Source organism: Homo sapiens, chromosome 11, assembly GCF_000001405.40.
Source record: "Homo sapiens chromosome 11, GRCh38.p14 Primary Assembly".
Taxonomy (NCBI): Eukaryota; Metazoa; Chordata; class Mammalia; order Primates; family Hominidae; genus Homo; species Homo sapiens.
This window is the reverse complement of record NC_000011.10, coordinates 45,124,593-45,142,789: the sequence shown is the minus strand read 5'-3', so window position 1 is coordinate 45,142,789 and position 18,197 is coordinate 45,124,593. Positions and strand designations below refer to the sequence as shown.

The 18,197-nt window shown below is 41.4% G+C and overlaps 1 protein-coding gene and 1 long non-coding RNA gene across 4 annotated transcripts in view, besides 2 other annotated features; one reads left to right on the top strand and one right to left on the bottom strand.

The window, feature by feature from the left end:
* The window catches only part of PRDM11 (PR/SET domain 11), a 140,951-nt gene that overhangs the window by 92,320 nt on the left and 30,434 nt on the right, over positions 1-18,197 (bottom strand). The window lies entirely within an intron of this gene.
* LOC105376652 (uncharacterized) overlaps positions 1-18,197 on the top strand; it is a 40,299-nt gene that overhangs the window by 3,994 nt on the left and 18,108 nt on the right. For all 3 annotated transcript variants that reach the window (XR_931241.3, XR_931239.3, XR_931240.3), the window contains exons 2-3: positions 793-923; positions 2,030-2,228. This is a non-coding gene — a long non-coding RNA (uncharacterized LOC105376652). The remainder of the gene's footprint in view (positions 1-792; positions 924-2,029; positions 2,229-18,197) is intronic.
* Positions 14,172-14,672: an enhancer, noted in NCBI's record as "H3K4me1 hESC enhancer chr11:45149669-45150169 (GRCh37/hg19 assembly coordinates)". NCBI's record gives its function as "activates a minimal SCP1, AML or CMV promoter by ChIP-STARR-seq in naive H9 embryonic stem cells {active_cell/tissue: H9 hESC(naive)}" and the evidence as "EXISTENCE:reporter gene assay evidence [ECO:0000049][PMID:30033119]".
* Positions 14,673-15,173: an enhancer, noted in NCBI's record as "H3K4me1 hESC enhancer chr11:45149168-45149668 (GRCh37/hg19 assembly coordinates)". NCBI's record gives its function as "activates a minimal SCP1, AML or CMV promoter by ChIP-STARR-seq in naive H9 embryonic stem cells {active_cell/tissue: H9 hESC(naive)}" and the evidence as "EXISTENCE:reporter gene assay evidence [ECO:0000049][PMID:30033119]".

The following is an 18,197-nucleotide window of genomic DNA, read 5'->3' as shown; positions in this document are numbered from 1 at the left end:
TTGTCCATTCACCCAACAGCTGAGGGATCCGTCTCTTGGAAGGAAGGAGGGACTGGCTTAAGCCCAAGGAATTGCTCATCCAGCTGCTGACAGTGGCTAAGATCAAAATGCCTTGGGTCAGATCATCATCGCCATTTTTTGCTCTACTGACAAGCAGCTTGCCTTGCTCCTACCAGCTCCCTGGGAGGCCCAAACCACTATCCCCTACCTGTGCTCCAGAAAATCTCCCCCATTAGTCCCTCCTGTTGAGGCATGGAAAGGTGGAGAGGTATGGGAATAGTGGCGTGGGAGTGAGGGGCATCCCTAGATCATGAGGACAGGGAAGGCATCTCTGAGGAGGTGGCATTTCAGTGGGGGTCTTGCTAGATACAAAGGAGCCAGCTCCACCAAGAGTTGAGTAGCAGAATTCCTGGGAAGGGGACACAGCCAGTGCAAAGGCCCTGAGCAGGATGGAATTGGCTTGTTCTATGAAGTGGCAGAAGGCTAGTGTGCCCAGGGTGCAGTGTGGCAAGAAGGACAAGAAGCAGATGTGGGGAGAAGTGGGTGGGATCTCTGCCAGGGTTTTCCAGTTTGGCTTTCTTTGAAGTGCAGTGGAAGCCACTGGTAATTTTAAGCTGGGGAGACCCGGAACTTGATTTGTTTTCATGAGATCACCTTGGTTGCCATCTGGATGATAAACATTTACTGAGTCCCAGTGAGTTTGTAGGCATGCTCATAAACCATCTCATTGAATTATCCCTGAATTCTAGATGAGATTGAAGCAAACGTGTGTCTTTTTTTCTGGCTTCCCAGCATCTGATTCCCCTTCCAGTGGCTGGAGAACATCCCACCTTCTGAGCCTTGGGGAGAAGCAGAGTGTGCCCTTTCCCTGCCCACTGGAGAAGCTGAAACAACAAAAACTCCCTTCCCTGGCCTCCCTGCAGGTAAGGCACTGGTCCATGACCCAGGCTGTCAATCAGATGCATCTTCCTGACTTTGAATTGGGAGCTAGAGATAATAGAAGCATGGATCATGGACAGTCCTTTCAGGCATGGGTGGGGTGCAGTGCAGTCCGTTCTCAGGAGCAGTAATGTCAGTGGCTGGATCCAACAGAGCTTTGGCCTAGGGCTGGTGGTGCAGGCTTTGGCATCTGTTGGTCAGGTTGGGGAGCAATGTCTTTACCACATCAGGTCTCTAGCATGATCTTGGCTGTGGCTCTGGCTGTGTGCACCCCACACCTGTTTCTCCAGCCTTCCAGAGGATCATGAGCTACCTGAAATCCTTTCACTGTGTTCCTTTTCAATTTACAAGTTGTCTATTGCTGCATAACCAATTGCCTGAAACTTAGCAGCTGAAGACAGTAAACATTTATTATCACACAGTTTCTGACAGGCCAGGAAAGCCACAGCCCTTTATAAACTAATTTCAGAAGTGACATGACATCACTGCTGCCATATTCTGTGGTCACACAGACCAACCCTGGTACAGTGTGGGAGAGGACTACACGAGGGTGCAGCCACCAGGAGGAGGGATCCTTGGTGGTCACCTTGGAGGCTGGTGACCAAAATCAGCCAGAGCAATTTCTGTTGCTTGCAACATTAAAACCAAGACTTTATGGAGCTTGTAGATGATCATGCAGTTATTCACCAAAATTTCTTAACAGTGTGTCTAGCCAGGAGAATAGGCAAAGGAAACCCCCAGATATCAGCTGAGAGCCAGCGGTAGAGCTTGCCTTGTTAGACAGGACCTTGGCAGACTGGTAAAATCAAAGAGGTTGAAATCACTGATTGGAGTACAAGTTGTGGAGTACTCTTTCCAAACTTGGGACTCTGGGCAACTCTCTCCATTTTGGAAGTCCTCAATGGTGTTGAGTATTGGAATTGATGGTTTCTCCAGCACTTGTTCAGTCTCCTTCTCTGTAAATAGGGCTGGGAATGTTGGATTCAATCATCATTCAAGAGATGAAGTATGTTCTCAGTCTTGTAGAGGGTTGCTAGAGAAAGGGATGGGGACTGGGGCATTAGAGAGGTTGTTTTTTTTTTTGTCCCAGGAGACTCCAGGAAGACTCCTGAATGCCACACACTCCTAAACCTGAGAGACCTTCATGCAGATTGGGGAGCAGCTTTAGGACTGCTGGGTGGAGCCACAATGAGACAGATAAGCTCCAGGAAAATAAGAAGTGCCGAAACAATGGAGCCACCCAACAAAAAGGGCTGCCACTGCAAGTGGTGAGCTTCCTGTTACTGGAGGTGTGTAAGCCAAGGTTGGGGGCTCTTCTGAAGATAATTTATGCCCAGGTAGATGTTATGTTTAATGATCTCCAAAGTCCCACCATAGGGGAATATTCTTGATTCCAGAAATGGTGCAGCCACATTGCTGGTGGAGAGCACTGTCGTGAAAGAATAGAGATCTGGGCCAGGAGCCAAGAGATGTGGGTTCTAGTCCCACCCCTGTTATTTGACTCCTGGGGGACTACAGTCAGATCCTGTATCTGCTCAGAGCCTCACTGGTTTTCTCTCAATTTGTAAAGTGAGGGACCAGTTTCCACATGTCAATCCATACAGCCACCCTTGTCAGAGAACATTTCCCTTGTCCTTGAGAAGATGAAAACCATAAAGCAATGTAGCATTGTTTTCATAAAGCTAAAGCTATTCAATTTAAAGGATGATCTTCATTTTGAGATAATATATTTCCTACTATTTTTGGTGTTCAAATGTCCTTTTTCTTTTATGCAAGGGTAATAATAGCATGTGTAGAAGATGAAAATGGTGTTATTGTTTTTCTGAGGGACCCTACTTGGCAAAATAAAAGGTTGACAAACCTACAGTAGTTCCCTCCAGTTATGAAAGTAAGAAATATAGGAATCACTGGGCTTAATGATTCCAAATAACCTTCAACATTGTTTCTCTCTCTTTCCCTGAACTCATCCCTCCATTTCTAAAACACTGATTGACACGTCAGACACGAGAGCCACTAAGATGAGTGAGACACCTACAGTCCCTTCCTATGTGAAGCTCAGAGTATCCCAAGGAAGACCAACACATAGGCACATAAACGAATGGATATTTAGGTTAGATCACATTTTTTATCATAAAAATACGACAGTACACATCCTTAGTTGTATCTTTTGTTTGCTTCTCTGGTTATTCCCTTAAGATGAGTTCCCAAAATGAAATTTCAGGGTCAAAGGATATGCCCTGCTTTACATCCTAAAAACATTTTTTTTTTTTTTTTTTTTTTTTGTGAGTTGGAGTCTCGCCCTGTCACCCAGGCTGGAGTGCAGTGGTGCAATCTCTGCTCACTGCAACCTCCGCCTCCTGGGTTCAAACGATTCTCCTGCCTCAGCCTCCCAAGTAGCTGGGATTAGAGAAGCCTGCCACCATGCCCAGCTAATTTTTGTGTTTTTAGTAGAGATGGGGTTTCACCATGTTGGCCAGGCTGGTCTTGAACTCCTGACCTCATGATCCATCTGCCTCGGCCTCCCAAAGTGCTGGAATTACAGGCGTGAGCCACTGCCTAAAACATTTTGCCCAGTTGTCCTAAAACATTTTGCCCAGTTGTCCTGCAAAGTGTTCATGCCTGTGTCAGTTCTCATTGATTTTGTATGAGCCTGCTTGTTTCCCCGACACCCTTATGCTGAACACCATCAATCTGCTTAATCTTCAGTGGTTTGCTCTGCAACTGATGTATCTCATTGTTGTTTTAAATTATATGACACCACTAGCAAGATGAGCTTATTTTAATATGTTTACTCATCTTTCATGCCTCTTTTGCAAATTGCTTGATTATGTCCTTTGTCCATTTAAAATTGGGGCCCTTATTTTTCTTATTGATTTAGAAATGTAGTTTACATATTAAGGATAGCAGAATGCTTTGTTTGAAATATGTAATGCAGTTTTCTCAATGCAAACAATTTTTGTAACTTTATTTGTGATGTCTTTTGCTGTATGGAAATTTAGATGTTTTCTGTTTTTCCTTTATAGTTTTGTGAACATAGTTAGAAAGGCCTTCTTCAGTATATTGTAAAAAAAAAATCTTAGATTTTCTTCTGATTGCTCTTTTTGTTTGTTTGTTTAAATATCTGACACAGCTGGAATTTACTTTGGTGTAGAGTATAGCATAGGGATGTGACTTTATGTTTTCCTTAGTGGAGAGTTGCCCCAACACCAATTATAGAATAATCCATCTATTCCTCATTATTTTGTAGTGCCATGTGTATCATGCACTAAATTTATTTATTTTTGAGACAGAGTCTCGCTCTGTCACCCAAGCCGGAGTTCAGTGGCATGGTCATGGCTCCCTGCAGCCTCAACTTCTTAGGCTCAAGCGATCCTTCCACCTCAGTCTCCTAAGTAGCTGGGACTACAGGCACATGCCGCCATACCTGTCTAATTTCTAAAAGTTTTTTATAGAGATGGGGTCTCACTATGTTCCCCAGGCTGGTCTTGCACTCCTGAGTGTAAGTGATCCTCCCTCCTCGGCTGCCCAAGATACTAGGATTATAGGCGGGAGCACCACACCCAGCCTCCTTCCATTATTTTGAATGACTGCAATGTTTTCTCTTCTCTAAGAATATCTTTTTTTCCTTCTGTTCTCTGTATTACCTGCTTCTTCAAGTTTTTCCCCCCTGTTCATTGGGCTCCCTTTCAGGCAGTGGCTTTCTTCAAATATCTGGTGATCCTTGGCTGCGTTTTCATTTTTGAGAGCAAGTTACTCAACAAGCTTGGTACACCCAGGTGGTTGGGATTCACAGCCTGAATGCTTTACTGGAGGGTGAAGCTGTGTTTTCCCCGTGTGGTGTAGGTCTTCCTTTCTTTAACAAAGAATGACCCTCCACTTTCTCACGTACGTGTGTGTATGTGTGTGTATGTGTGCGTGTGTGTATGTGTGCACGCAGAGAGAGGACACAAGGGTTGAGAGTCATAAGTCTAGTCCTGCTCTGACTTCAAGGTAATGCTGGGTCAGAAGGGATCTCTAATTTTGGACCCGAGTCGGGAAGGAACTGGAGGGCTCAAACAGCTCCTTACCCATCTGTTTGCTTGCTTGCTTATTTTCTCTCTTTCTTTACAGGGTCTTACTGTGTCACCCAGGCTGGATTGGAGTTCAGTTGCACCATCTCAGCTCACTGTAACCTTGCTGGGTTCAAGCAGTCCTCCCATCTCAGCCTCCTGAGTAGCCAGGGCTACAGATGCACGCCACCATGCCCGGCTAATTTTATTTTTTGTAGAGAGGAGGTCTCGCCATGTTGCCCAGGTTGGTCTGGAACTCTTGGGCTCAAGCAATTCTCCTGCCTTGGCCTCCTAAAGTGTTGGGATTACAGGCATGAGCCGCCACACCCAGCCTCCCATCTGTGTTTTCTTTTCTTTTTTCTTTTTTTTTTTGAGACGGAGTCTCTTGTCACTCAGGCTGGAGTGCAGTGCTGCGATCTCAGCTCACTGCAACCTCCGCCTCCTGGATTCAAGAAATTCTCCTGCCTCAGCCTCCCGAGTAGCTGGGGTTACAGGCGTGTGCCACCAAGCCTGGCTAATTTTTATATTTTTAGTAGAGACGGGGTTTCACCATGTTGGCAAGGCTGGTCTCAAATTCCTGACCTCAAGTGATCTGCCTGCCTCGGCCCCATCTGTTTGTTTGTTTGTTTGTTTGTTTTTGAGACAGAGTCTCACTCCCTCGCCCAGGCTGAAGTGCAGTGGTGCGATCTCAGCTCACTGCAACCTCCGCCTCCCAGGTTCAAGAAATTCTCCTGCCTCAGCCTCCCGAGTGGCTGGAATTACAGGTGTCTGCCACCACACCCAGCTAATTTTTTTTCTTTTTTTTTTTTTTTGTATTTTTAGTAGAGATAGGGGTTTCACCATGTTGGCCAGGCTGGTCTCGAACTCCTGACCTCAAGTGATCCACCCGCCTCGGCCTCCCAAAGTGCTGGGATTACAGGCAGGAGCCTCTGTGCCCGGCCCCCATCTGTTTTTGATTCAGCAGTTTCCCACCCTCCTCAGTGCCTGGTGAAAACAACTTAGAAGTCTGTCTATGACCATCGCTCTAGGAAAGGACTATGGTGGTCCACAGGGACAGCAAGGGAACTGCCTTGGGTGGGGTTGGGATGGGCAATCTGGGGGTCTCAGTGCTTCTTTAATAAGGTTTGGAAAATGATCCTTCTATTTTCAGCCGCAGCCCTCACCTCGGCCTTCTAAGGGACCTGGTTCTTGCCATTTCTAAGCCTTTCCTGTGATTCCTTGTGGGCAAATTGGCTTTCTGTGTTCCAGTGCCCCGCATTGGGTACTCAGATTTGATTCCATCTTCTCTACTAAGGCAGCCCTTCCTCCAGCTGTCTTCCACCTGCCTATGTTGCAATCTGGTAATACTTTAGATGCCTCCTTGTTTTATCCAAGGTGGATTTTGTGTTGTGTTTTTTGTTCTGCTTGTTCCAGGATGGTTTTTCAAGAGGAGAAGGAGATGGACACCTTTTCACTTCACCTTGGCTTACTAGGCACACATTAATTTTAAAATAGGAATTCTGTCCTGTTATCACTCTGTTATCATTTCAGGTAACATTTAAAATAAAAATGGAAACATTTTCTCTTCTTCCCCTTCAAAATCCAATGGAACTTTTAAAAACTAGATATTATGTTTTAAAACAATTTTAGGTTTACAGAAAAATGGCAAAGCTATTACAAAGAGTTCTCATATACCCTGTACCCAGTTCCCCCTATTACTAACACATTCCATTGGTACAATACATTGGCCACAAGTAATGAACCAAAATCCTACATTAAGTTCATAGATTATTCCAATTTCCTTAGCTTTTTACTAAAAGTACTTTTTTCTGTTCTAGGATCTCATCCACATTATATTTACTCATCCTGTTTTCTTAGGCCCCTCTTGGCTGGGACAGTTTCTCATACTTCCCTTGTTTTTGATAGCTCATTTTTGAGGCGTCCTGGGCAGGCCTTTTGTGGAAGAATCCTCTATTGTAGTTTGTCTGATGTTTTTCTCATCGTTAGACTCGGATTATGGGTTTTGGAGAGGAAGCCATTGGGATTTTGATGGGAATGCCATTAAATTTATAGGTTAATTTGAGGAGAATTGACATTCCCATAATATTGAGTTTTCCTTCAGGGACCTGGTGCATTTTTCCATCGTATTTAAGTCTTCTTTTATGATCTCCAGTGAAGTTTTATAGTTTGCTTCTTATAAACCTAACATATTTCTGTTTAGGTTTATTTCTAGGTACGTGATAGTTTTTGCTGCTATTGTGAGTAAGATCTTTTTCAACTACATTTATTTTCTAAATTGTCCTTGCTGTTGGAAAGCTAGGATTTGGAAAGCTATTGATTTTTATAAATGTATATTCTGACCAGCTATCTTACTAAATTCACATATTGTTTTCATTAGTTCTGAGTTGATTCTTTGGGACTTTTTTGGTAGACAAGAGTATCTCATGCAAATAATTACTTTGTGCCTTCCTTTTAAAAAATATTTATGAATCTTGGTTAATTTTCTTATATTATTGCATTAGCTAGAAGCTCCAAAACAATGATTAGGAATGGAGACAGCAAGCATTCTTGTTTGCTAAGGCAGGTTTTCTCCTGTTTTCATGATGTTTCCTGCAGCCTTCTGATAATCTCATTACATTCTAGAAATGTCCTTTTATTCCTATTTTAGTAGGAGAGAGAGAGAGAGAGAGAGAGTATAATTAAAATTGGATTCTTCTTTTTAGAGATGGGGTCTCACTATGTTGCCCAGGCTGGGCTCAAACTACCCTCCTGCCTCAGCCTCCCTAGTAGCTGGGTCTACAACTGTGTGCCACTGTGCCCAGCTAAAATGGAATTTTTACCAATGCCTTTTTTTGTATCTATCAGTATCAGCACCTATTTTTCCATATTAACCTCTAGATGTAATGATTATTGCTCTGCAATAATTTGCAAACATGGAAAACATTATAGGATTTGATAATTATTAAGTCATCTTTGAATTTCTAGGATAAAATATGTCAAGTTCTTCCTTAATATGCTGCTGCATCAAATTGCTATTATACATTTTTTAAAAATTAAAAAAAATGTGTGGCTAATTATAATGTTGAAATACTATTCTTTTTTTTTTTTTTTTTTTTTTTTTCGTGAGACAGGGTCTCACTCTGTTGCTCAGGCTGGAGTGCAGTGGTGCAATCTCAGCTCACTGCAGCCTCGACCTCCCAGGCTCAAGCGATTCTCCCACCTCAGCCTCCCAAGTAGCTGGGACTACAGGCACGTGCCACGACATCCAGCTAATTTTTGTATTTTTTGTAGAGACAGGGTTTTGCTGTGTTGCCCAGGCTGGTCTCAATCTCCTGAGTCAAGCGATCTGCCCACCTCAGCCTCCCAAAGTGCTGGAATTACAGGCTTGTGCCTCCACACCTGTCTGCTATTCTAAGTTTTTGTGTGAGTGGGCTTTGTTAGTTTTGAACTCAAGTTTATACTAGTCTCTATAACTTTTTTTGTAACTGCCTGAGATTATTTTGTCGGGGAGTACGCTTATGAGTCTCAAGGAACATGATCGTAAGACTAAAGTTTTCTTCTATATCTCCTGCATTAACCCTATTTCAGCATGAGCTATTTGGTCCGAGTATTCAGTTCAGGCCACTGACTCACTCTCCTTGCATGTCCAGAAAATTTTCACTGTCTCTTCCCATTTTTAAACAAAGGACTCGCCTAATCACCATTGGTAGCTGATGTGAGCTTTCCCAGCAATTGTGTAGGTGAGTCATTGATTTCCCATGTGTGCCTTGCCCTCTGGGGGTGTATAGAGATGTAGGGTAGTCTTAGGTGAGCTTCACCCAGCTGCAGAGGGCAAAGGCTGGCAGAGAGATTGCCCTTCAGGGTTCCTGTGCCAGGAAGCAGATTGGCATTTGGGGGCCCATCTCAAACAGTGCTGATGGCTGTGGCAGTGCTTAGCTGGCAAAATCCATTTGGTTTAGCCTGCTCTCTGCATCAAATGAGACCCGTGAGCTGGGGTGTATGTTGAGGCAAGCTGCTCTGTTTGGAGGATCCAAATTTGCCATTCTTGAGTTACTCCTCCCTAACTGTATGTCTAGCCTCCACTATGTGCCCGTTGGGGATCTGTGTCTAGTTAGTACTATCATTAGTGCTGCACATGCCAGTAGAAGAAGGGAAGGAGTTACCAAGGGAGAGGATTCCACTGCTGTGCTGAGCTCCACTGGCCAGTGCCCGAAACTCAGCGAACACTGGTTTGAGCAAAAAGAATAACGTGTTGGCTCCTATAACTAAAAAAATCTGGGTCAGGCTTCAGGCATGGCTGGATCAAGCTGTTAAAACAATATCATCAGAAATATGTCTTTATCCATCTTCCCACCTATGAAGAAAAAGTTATGGCCAGAAAGTTATGAGAATTGGGGAAAGCAAGTCATCTTGGGAACCAAGAGAGCAGAGCATTCAGAAAGAGAAAGTGGACAATAGGGTTAAATGCAACAGGGAGGTCCAGTAAGATAAGAACTTAAGGATTTCCTCAGATTTCATGATAGGAGTCACTTATGTCCTTAACAAGAACAATTTTAGTGGTATTACCCCATGGAAGTGGTATAGCAGATTGGAATGAGTTGAGGAGAAAATGAGAGGTAAGGAATTAGAAAAAGAAAGCACAGATTATCTTTTTGAGCTATTTGGATGAAAAGTGTTAGAAAGAGAAGGCAGAGTTAAATATTTTTATTGTTTAAAGGTTGGGAGAAAATTGGATGTGTTTCCAGCTTATGGGAATGCAGCTGGCAGAGAAGGCAAGGTTAACAGCAGAGAGGTAACACCAGAAAGAGGACTTTTACTTTAATTTGGGGATGGGGATGGGGATGGGGTATGTGTGGCACATTCTTAAGCAGGGTGTTGCTCCTCTTTCCACAGCAAGATGGCTGAGCCATCAGTATTTTCCTGGGTTTTGCTCAATCTTTGCTGTCCCTGGGCTGGCTTTAGGAATTGGAGAAGTATACTCATCAGAGGATTTCTAAAGCGCCAATCACTATCTTTGGGTCTTCTCCCTAGGTAGCTGGGTGACCTTGAGTAAGCTGCTGTCATTCTGGGTTTCCTGTAAGAGGTTGACTTCGATGTCCTTAGAGGTCCCTTCCATCCAGCATCACTTTGAAGTCAGACTTTGAGTAGCTCAGAGGCAGATTGTGAAAGGATGGAGGAACAGAATGGAAACAGAAGTAGAAAGGAAATGACTGTGGCTTCATAAGCATTACTCTACCTTTCAGGAACATGTCTTTTCAATTTGCAAAGTGCTGGGGATGTGCTTAATGATCTGCAAGCTCCCTTTTATTTTTAAATTATTGTTTTAAAAATAACATTTAAGACTTTTTTATTATAACATAATACATGTCCAGTGACAAAAACCATGAGCAAAACACTAAAATAAATCAACCACAGTTTTACTACCCAGAGGTGAGGGTTATGAGCAAGTTCAGAGCTTGGTTTATGCCTTTTTGGTATGTATTTGATGGGGTGAACACTGTGGGTTGCCTATTCAGTGGCAGTCTGTCTTCACTTCTGCTCACTTCTTCTTGGCTGGCAAAGCTCTTGTTTTGTAGAAGTGTTCAAGCTCCTTGTTGTCATGGGCTCAGGGAAAATGACCCCCTGCACAGCGCAGCTCCAGGGAATCCAATCATGATTGGTTTAAGATAATGACAGTGATCCCATTTCCCTTTTCTGTGAATAGTTTAGACATTGGACATGTGATACAGTTCTGGCCAGTGAGATGCACAAGAATGACTTTGAGGGAATGTTTTCCTTGCTCTTAGAGGTCCACAGAAGATGATGGTCCTCTTTCTGTTGCTCAGCTTGGCTCTATAAGGTGGAGATTCAGGGAACTGCTGCAGCCATCCAGCAAGCAAGGAAGAACTAGGCTGAAAACAAAAACCAACACCAAAGAAAAAATCTAGATCCCGGATAACATTTTTGAGCAACTTCATTAGCCAACCCTGAAATTGCCCTATCTTTGGACTCCTGTTATTTGAGATAATAATCTGCCCTTATTTTAGAAAGGTATTTCATTATTTGCAGCTAAAAGCATTCTAACTGTTGCAAATAGGATCATATTGCTTGTATTATTTTGAGCATGCTCTTTCATTTCATAATATACCATGAACATTTTCAAAAGTCAATAACTTACTCCTGTAATAGGATTTTGAATGGCTGCACTGTATTCAACATGTTGTGAGACATTTAGGTGTTGCCAGTTTTTGCCATTATACATAATGGTGTGACAACACCCTGCACAAATCTTTGCATATTTGTTTGGTTTCAGGGGTAATTTTCTAGAAACAAAATATTGGGTAATGGTTGTATATATTATCAAGGCTTTTCCTTAAATTTCCCTCCAAAACTTTGCATTGATTTGTAATCTGCCATTGTTACCAGCTTTCCTTGTTAGCATTCTATTTTTAACTTTGCATTGAAGTATAACGTATATACAGAAAATTACACAAATCATGCTTAATTCTCACAACCTGAAAACCCTCATATAACCAACACCCAAATCAAGAAACAGAGCATTTCGAGTCATGGGGGAATCATTTGTTCCTCCACCCAGCCAGTACCCACAGAAGTAACCATTACTCAGATTCTATCACCACAAGTGAGTTTTGCCAATTCTTGAACTTCACATAAATGAAATTACATGTATGTTGACTTTTACACCTACTCCTTGTGCTCATCATTGTATCTGTGTGATTCATTCATGTTGTTGAGAATAGTAGGTTTGTTCCATTTTTTGCTGTGTGGTATCCCCATTATATGACTATACCAATGATCCATTTTACTGTTGATGGACATTTGAGTTGTGTCTAACTCTTGGCTATTTTAAACAAAGCTGCTGTAAAGTTTCATACATGCTTTTTTGATGGACATGTGTACTCTAATGTATCTTGGGTAGTTACCTACAATTCAAATTGCTTAAATTTTTAATTCAAACTGGCAACACCTAAACGTCTCATAACACGTTGAATACAGTGCAGCCATTAAAAATCCTATTATGGAAAAAGTTATTGACGGATGAAAATGTTCATGGTATATTGTAAAATGAAAGCACATGCTCAAAATAATATAAGCAATATGACCCTATTTGCAACAGTTAGAATGCTTTTAGCTGTAAATATCAAAATTTGGTGTACACTTAATACGAAATTTCCAAACAGTTCTCCAAAGTAATTGTATCAATTTACACTCTCAAAAACAATACATGAGTGAGTTCCAGGTGTGCCACGTTCTTGCCAACACTTAATATTCACAATCTTTTTCTTTTTACTCATTCTAGAAAGTTTGTAGTGATGTTCATTGTGGTTTCAATTGACTTTTTCCTGATGAGTGATAATGTTGAACACCTTCTCATGTGTTGATTGGCCATTTGAATATCCTTTCTTGTGAAGTGCTTAAGTTTTATGCCCAAAGTTTAATTGTTTTTTGTTTTATTGATTTCTCAGATATATGTATTGCCAATATCTTATCCCAGTGTATATTTTGCCTTTTCACGCTCCTGATGTCTTTTAATGAACAGAAGTTCTTAATTTTAATGAGGCCTATTTTATGGGTAATGGCTTTGGTGTTCTAACAACTTTTTAACTATCCCAATATCATAATGATATGATTCTGTATTTTCTTTTGGAAGCTTTATTGTTTTGTTTTTCACATGTAGATCTAGAATCCATTTCAAATTAATTTTGGTGTGAGGTAGGGATCAAGCTTCATTTTTTTCCCATATGAATATCCAATTGATCTAAGACATTAGGCCATTTATTTAAAAGGCATTCTCCACCCACTGGATTGCAGTGGCACCACTGTCAAAAATCAGTTGACCATGTAAGTGTGGGTCTGTTGTTGGACTCTATCCTACTTCATTCTTCTATTTATCTGTCTTTGCACCAAACCCACATAGTCTTCTTAACTACTGTAGATTTACAATAAGTATATCTGATGGTACGAGTCCTCCAACTTTATTCTTCTTCAACATCATTTTGGCTATTCTGGGTTTTTTTTGCATTTTTATATGTATATTTTACAATCAGCTTTTCAATTTACTTCCAGTATTTTGATTGAGATGTCACAAAATCTGTAGATCAATTTGGAGAGAGATTGCTATTTGGAGAGAAACAATATTGATTCTTCCAATCTGTAAACATGAAGTGTTTATGTAAATCCATGTGTTTAGGTCTTATTTAATTTCTCTAAACACTGTTTTATAGGGTGGATATCTTGCAATTTTTCATTGTATGTATTCTTATTTGATTTTAAAAATTCAGTTGTAAATGGTGGTTTTTAAGGTTCTATTTCCAATTTGTTTTACTAGTATATAAATATACAATTGATTTCTGAAAAGTCACCTTGTTTAAACGACCTTTCCAAATTTGCTTATTAATTCTAATAGTTTGTTTATAGACCCTTTTGAATTTTTTGCATACATCACCATGTATGTGAGCAAATAATAGTTTTATTCTTTCGTTTTAAGTCTCATACTTTTCAATTTTTTTCTTGCCATATTGCACTGGCTAGGATCTTCAGTACGATGATGAATAGAAGTAGCGATAGTAGCCTTGTCTTGTTCCTAACCTCAGAGGAAAAGCATTCACTAGTTTATGTTAAAAGATGTTAGCTAAGGGTTTTTGTAGATATCCTTCATTAGATTAGAAAAGTTCCTTTCTATTCCTGTTTTCTGGTAGTTTAATTTGAAAAAGTGTTGAATTTGTCAAATAATGTTTCTATATCTATCAAGATGATTATATGCTTTTTCTCCTTTATTCTGTTAATGTGGTGAATTACATTAAAATAATGTTAAAGTAACTGCATTCTTAGAATAAACACCATGTGGTCATGATATATAATTTTTGTATGTCACTACGTTTGATTTGCTAATATTTTAGTTAGGATTTTCACATTTATGCTTATGAGTGATATTGGCCTGCAATTTTTTCTTTCCTTTCTTATAAAATATAATAATAAAATGTCAGATTTTTAAAATCAGGTTTATATTGGTCTTGTAAAGCAAGTTTGGAGGTGTTTTTTATTTCTCTTTTTTCTGAAATAGTTTAAATAAGATTAGCACTGTTTCTGCCTTAAATATTTGTGGAAATTCTCCAGTGAAGCTATCTGGCCCTGGAAGCTTCTTTGTAGGAAAATTTTCAATTACAGATTCAGTTTTTAAATGAATATTAGACTACAGTATTTTTTACTTTTTTTATATGGTAAGTTGTGTTTTCAAAGAATTTGTTCATTTAATCTAAGTTGCCAAATGTATCAACAAAAAGTTGTTAATACCATGATATCAGCGGGGGGAGGGGGGGTGCGCGGGGTGTAGCCAAGATGGCTGAATAGGAAGAGCTCCGGTCTACAGCTTCCAGCGTGAGCGACGCAGAAGATGGGTGATTTCTGCATTTCCATCTGAGGTACCGGGTTCATCTCACTAGGGAGTGCCAGACAGTGGGTGCAGGACAGTGGGTGCAGTGCACTGTGTGCGAGCCGAAGCAGGGCGAGGCATTGCCTCACTCAGGAAGTGCAAGGGGTCAGGGAGTTCCCTTTCCTAGTCAAAGAAAGGGGTGACAGACAGCACCTGGAAAATTGGGTCACTCCCACCCTAATACTGCACTTTGCCAACGGGCTTAAAAAACGGCACACCAGGAGATTATATCCTGCACATGGCTCGGAGGGTCCTACGCCCACAGAGTCTCACTGATTGCTAGCACAGCAGTCTGAGATCAAACTGCAAGGTGGCAGCGAGGCTGGGGGAGGGGCGCCTGCCATTGCCCAGGCTTGCATAGGTAAACAAAGCAGCCAGGAAGCTCGAAGTGGGTGGAGCCCACCACAGCTCAAGGAGGCCTGCCTGCCTCTGTAGGCTCCACCTCTGGGGGCAGGGCAAAGACAAAAAGACAGCAGTAACCTCTACAGACTTAAACGTCCCTATCTGACAGCTTTGAAGAGAGTAGTGGTTCTCCCAGCACGCAGCTGGAGATCTGAGAACGGGCAGACTGCCTCGTCAAGTGGGTCCCTGACCCCTGAGCAGCCTAACTGGGAGGCACCCCCCGGTAGGGGCAGACTGACACCTCACAGGGCCGGGTACTCCTCTGAGACAAAACTTCCAGAGGAATGATCAGGCAGCAGCATTTGCGGTTCATGAAAACCCGCTGTTCTACAGCCACCGCTGTTCTGCAGCCACCGCTGCTGATACCCAGGCAAACAGGGTCTGGAGTAGACTTCTAGCAAACTCCAACAGACCTGCAGCTGAGGGTCCTGTCTGTTAGAAGGAAAACTAACAAACAGAAAGGACATCCACACCAAAAACCCATCTGTACATCACCATCATCAAAGACCAAAAGTAGATAAAACTACAAAGATGGGGAAAAAACAGAGCAGAAAAACTGGAAACTCTAAAAAGCAGAGCGCCTCTCCTCCTCCAAAGGAACGCAGCTCCTCACCAGCAACGGAACAAAGCTGGACGGAGAATGACTTTGACAAGTTGGGAGAAGAAGGCTTCAGATGATCAAACTACTCCGAGCTACAGGAGGAAATTCAAACCAATGGCAAAGAAGTTAAAAACTTTGAAAAAAATTAGACGAATGTATAACTAGAATAACCAATGCAGAGAAGTGCTTAAAGGAGCTGATGGAGCTGAAAGCCAAGGCTGGAGAACTATGTGAAGAATGCAGAAGCCTCAGGAGCTGACGTGATTAACTGGAAGAAAGGGTTTCAGTGATGGCAGATGAAATGAATGAAATGAAGCGAGAAGGGAAGTTTAGAGAAAAAAGAATAAAAAGAAACGAACAAAGTCTCCAAGAAATATGGGACTATGTGAAAAGACCAAATCTACATCTGATTGGCGTACCTGAAAGTGACAGGGAGAATGGAACCAAGTTGGAAAACACTCTGCAGGATATTATCCAGGAGAACTTCCCCAATCTAGCAAGGCAGGCCAACATTCAGATTCAGGAAATACGGAGAACACCACAAAGATACTCCTCGAGAAGAGCAACTCCAAGACACATAATTGTCAGATTCACCAAAGTTGAAATGAAGGAAACAATGTTAAGGGCAGCCAGAGAGAAAGGTCGGGTTACCCACAAAGGGAAGCCCATCAGACTAACAGTGGATCTCTCGGCAGAAACTCTACAAGCCAGAAGAGAGTGGGGGCCAATATTCAACATTCTTAAAGAAAAGAATTTTCAACCCAGGATTTCACATCCAGCCAAACTAAGCTTCATAAGCGAAGGAGAAATAAAATACTTTACAGACAAGCAAATGCTGAGAGATTTTGTCACCACCAGGCCTGCCGTAAAAGAGCTCCTGAAGGAAGCACTAAACATGGAAAGGAACAACCGGTACCAGCCACTGCAAAACCATGCCAAATTGTAAAGACCATCAAGGCTAGGAAGAAACTGCATCAACTAATGAGCAAAATAACCAGCTAACATCATAATGACAGGATCAAATTCACACATAACAATATTAACTTTAAATGTAAATGGGCTAAATGCTCCAATTAAAAGACACAGACTGGCAAATTGGATAAAGAGTCAAGACTCATCAGAGTGCTGTATTCAGGAAACCCATCTCACAAGCAGAGACACACATAGGCTCAAAATAAAGGGATGGAGGAAGATCTACCAAGCAAATGGAAAACAAAAAAAGGCAGGGGTTGCAATCCTAGTCTCTGATAAAACAGACTTTAAACCAACAAAGATCCAAAGAGACAAGGCCATTACATAATGGTAAAAGGATCAATTCAACAAGAAGAGCTAACTATCCTAAATATATATGCACCCAATACAGGAGCACCCAGATTCATAAAGCAAGTCCTGAGTGAACTACAAAGAGACTTAGACTCCCACACAATAATAATGGGAGACTTTAACACCTCACTGTCAACATTAGACAGATCAACAAGACAGAAAGTTAACAAGGATACCCAGGAATTGAACTCAGCTCCACACCAAGCGGACCTAATAGACATCTACAGAACTCTCCACCCCAAATCAACAGAATATACATTTTTTTCAGCACCACACCACACCTATTCCAAAATTGACCACATAGTTGGAAGTAAAGCACTCCTCAGCAAATGTAAAAGAACAGAAATTATAACAAACTGTCTCTCAAACCACAGTGCAATCAAACTAGAACTCAGGATTAAGAAACTCACTCAAAACCGCTCAACTACATGGAAACTGAACAACCTGCTCCTGAAAGACTACTGGGTACATAACAAAATGAAGGCAGAAATAAAGATGTTCTTTGAAACCAATGAGAACAAAGACACAACATACCAGAATCTCTGGGACACATTCAAAGCAGTGTGTAGAGGGAAATTTATAGCACTAAATGCCCACAGGAGAAAACAGGAAAGATCCAAAATTGACACCCTAACATCACAATTAAAAGAACTAGAAAAGCAAGAGCAAACACATTCAAAAGCTAGCAGAAGGCAAGAAATAACCAAAATCAGAGCAGAACTTAAGGAAATAGAGACACAAAAAACCCTTCAAAAAATTAATGAATCCAGGAGCTGGTTTTTTGAAAAGATCAACAAAATTGATAGACCGCTAGCAAGACTAATAAAGAAGAAAAGAGAGAAGAATCAAATAGATGCAATAAAAAATGATAAAGGGGATATCACCACCGATCCCACAGAAATACAAACTACCATCAGAGAATACTACAAACACCTCTATGCAAATAAACTAGAAAATCTAGAAGAAATGGATAAATTCCTCAACACATACACCATCCCAAGACTAAACCAGGAAGAAGTTGAATCTCTGAATAGACCAATAACAGGCTCTGAAATTGTGGCAATAATCAATAGCTTACCAACCAAAAAAAGTCCAGGACCAGATGGATTCACAGCCAAATTCTACCAGAGGTACAAGGAGGAGCTGGTACCATTCCTTCTGAAACTATTCCAATCAATAGAAAAAGAAGGAATCCTCCCTAACTCATTTTATGAGGCCAGCATCATCCTGATACCAAAGCCTGGCAGAGACATAACCAAAACAGAGAATGTTAGACCAATATCCTTGATGAACATTGATGCAAAAATCCTCAATAAAATACTGGCAAACTGAATCCAGCAGCACATCAAAAAGCTTATCCACCATGATCAAGTGGGCTTCATCCCTGGGATGCAAGGCTGGTTCAACATATGCAAATCAATAAATGTAATCCAGCATATAAACAGAACTAAAGACAAAAACCACATGATTA